The sequence below is a fragment of the Homo sapiens genome, chromosome 4, assembly GCF_000001405.40.
Source record: "Homo sapiens chromosome 4, GRCh38.p14 Primary Assembly".
NCBI classification, from domain to species: domain Eukaryota; kingdom Metazoa; phylum Chordata; class Mammalia; order Primates; family Hominidae; genus Homo; species Homo sapiens.
This window is the reverse complement of record NC_000004.12, coordinates 34,288,407-34,290,623: the sequence shown is the minus strand read 5'-3', so window position 1 is coordinate 34,290,623 and position 2,217 is coordinate 34,288,407.

The window sequence follows — 2,217 nt, the reverse complement described above, 5'->3', positions numbered from 1 at the left end:
ACATCATCATTCTTTTAAGGAAGTCCGTAAAGTGGACCACTTAGATTTGGTCTAAGTTGCACCATGTGTTCTTGGGCAAAATGCAAATTACGTTCTTGTACCTCAGCATTCATACCACTAAAATGGAACAATTACAGTAGCTATGACATAGGGCTGCTGTATAGATTAAGTAAAAAACAATTACAACAGTATAATAATATATGGAATGCGGCAATCAATATAACAGTAGTTGCTATTATTATTAAAATAATTTCATTTAAAATATACATTTAAGTTTTTTAGCCCTGGGAAACACTTTTTATAAAAGCAACTTTGATTTAACATAATGTACTGCAGAATGAATGAGCCACTACCACAATTATTTTCTTAATTAATTTTCTGACTAATTCAAAAACACTGTCCTCTTATAAAACTGCTATGGTTGGAATAATTTCTTGTCAATGACAGTTTTAAAATGCTGACATTGACAATCACAATTTGTCATTAAAATGTTAATTTTAGAAAAGTGTCAGAAATTAAAAAGTCAAAGTAATAAATCCATGTCTCCATAAATGACAGTATGGCATAAAATTTTAAGATGCTAGGAATTTTTATTTTATTGTAATCTGATTGCTTTTGAAATGCTTAAAATACACCAAATCCTTTTTATCAGTAAATACATTTAAGATAAAATAAGTTATACTATATTTGCTTAATTTATCTGGAGTTATTCTTATTATGTCATTGAACTTTTTCGAATAAGTATAAGAATTAGGTAAAGCATCAAGTAAGGAATAATAGGACACTTGTTTAACAAAATGATTTGTGAAATATACATTTGAAAATTTGATTTTAAAATTATCTTTCAGTCATAGTGCATGTGTTGTCTGAGTTGGCTTATATAAATACTTCTGAAATTAACTGAGTCAGACACAGTGAATCAACAGTATGCAGATAACTATATTTTTGTGTTCTGAATATTTCCAGATGGTGCTTATTACTGCATGATACACATGATTGTATCTCATACTCCTTGTGTATTTTCTAGGGGTTAATAACAATTGAAAAAATGAATACGAACGATAACATCTTTATTAATTATGAAAATTTAATTCTGCTATTCTCCCTTTATTTGCGGAGATATTACAAAGTACAACATGTCTAAACATTTTATCTCTTCTTATTGCTTATTTCACAGGGTGAAAGGAATTTTTCTGTTATCCTAAAATTTTTAGTAGAAAGGCATATTTAAATCATTTGAGCTCATCCCGTAAACCATCAAACATAATAATTATTGGGCATTATTTATAGAAAACAAATAAACTGTTGTTTTAATAATAGAGCATCTTTCGAGCTGTGATGTTTGATTAACAAGAGGCATTTTGTTTTGGGGGTGTTTATGTGGGTGTGTTTGAACTAAGCATCAAACGTTAGAATTGCATTGATATCACTGACTCTTAAAGCAATTTCATTGTGACTTACAAAATACAGAAGAATCTCAGTTAAGTAACTAGGTAATTGAATCTAGTGGAAATAACCTTTGGCCATAATCTAGATGTAGACATTATGAGTTGCAATTTTTACTACATTTCACAGTAAATTCTCTATTTCATTCATTCATAAATAACCTCATAAAAAAATCCTTCCTCTTTCTTCTAATGAAACAATGTGGTAGAAATGAGAAGAATGAGATTGCAAGAAATAAATGAAGTACCCTGAAAGCAAAGGGGGGCAACTGCCAGTTGTCATTAACTCTATTGGGTTTTTCCCAGGTCTGGGTCAATACTTGTGATAACCAAAATATGTAGATATAGCTACAACATAAGATACGTAACTCAGGTCACCATAATTGATGTATAACTGTAAGGTTTTGCAAATTTAGCTTAATATTTTCAAATGGAAGGTAAACCATAATGTTATTTGGGGACTTCATCATGAATATTGCAAAGTAAAATTTTATCGTTTCGTAAGCAATTACTTTGGTATTCGAGATTTCTTTTCAACATAAAAACATAATAGGGGCCGGGCACAGTGGCTCACTCCTGTAATCCCAGTACTTTGTGAGACCGAGGTGGGAGGATCACCTGAAGTCAGGTGTTTGAGACCAGCTTGGCCAACATGGTGAAACCCTCTCTCTACTAAAAATACAAAAAAAAAAAAAAAATTAGCCAGGCATGGTGGCACATACCTGTAATCCCAACTACTCACGGAGGCTGAGACAGGAGAATCATTTGAACC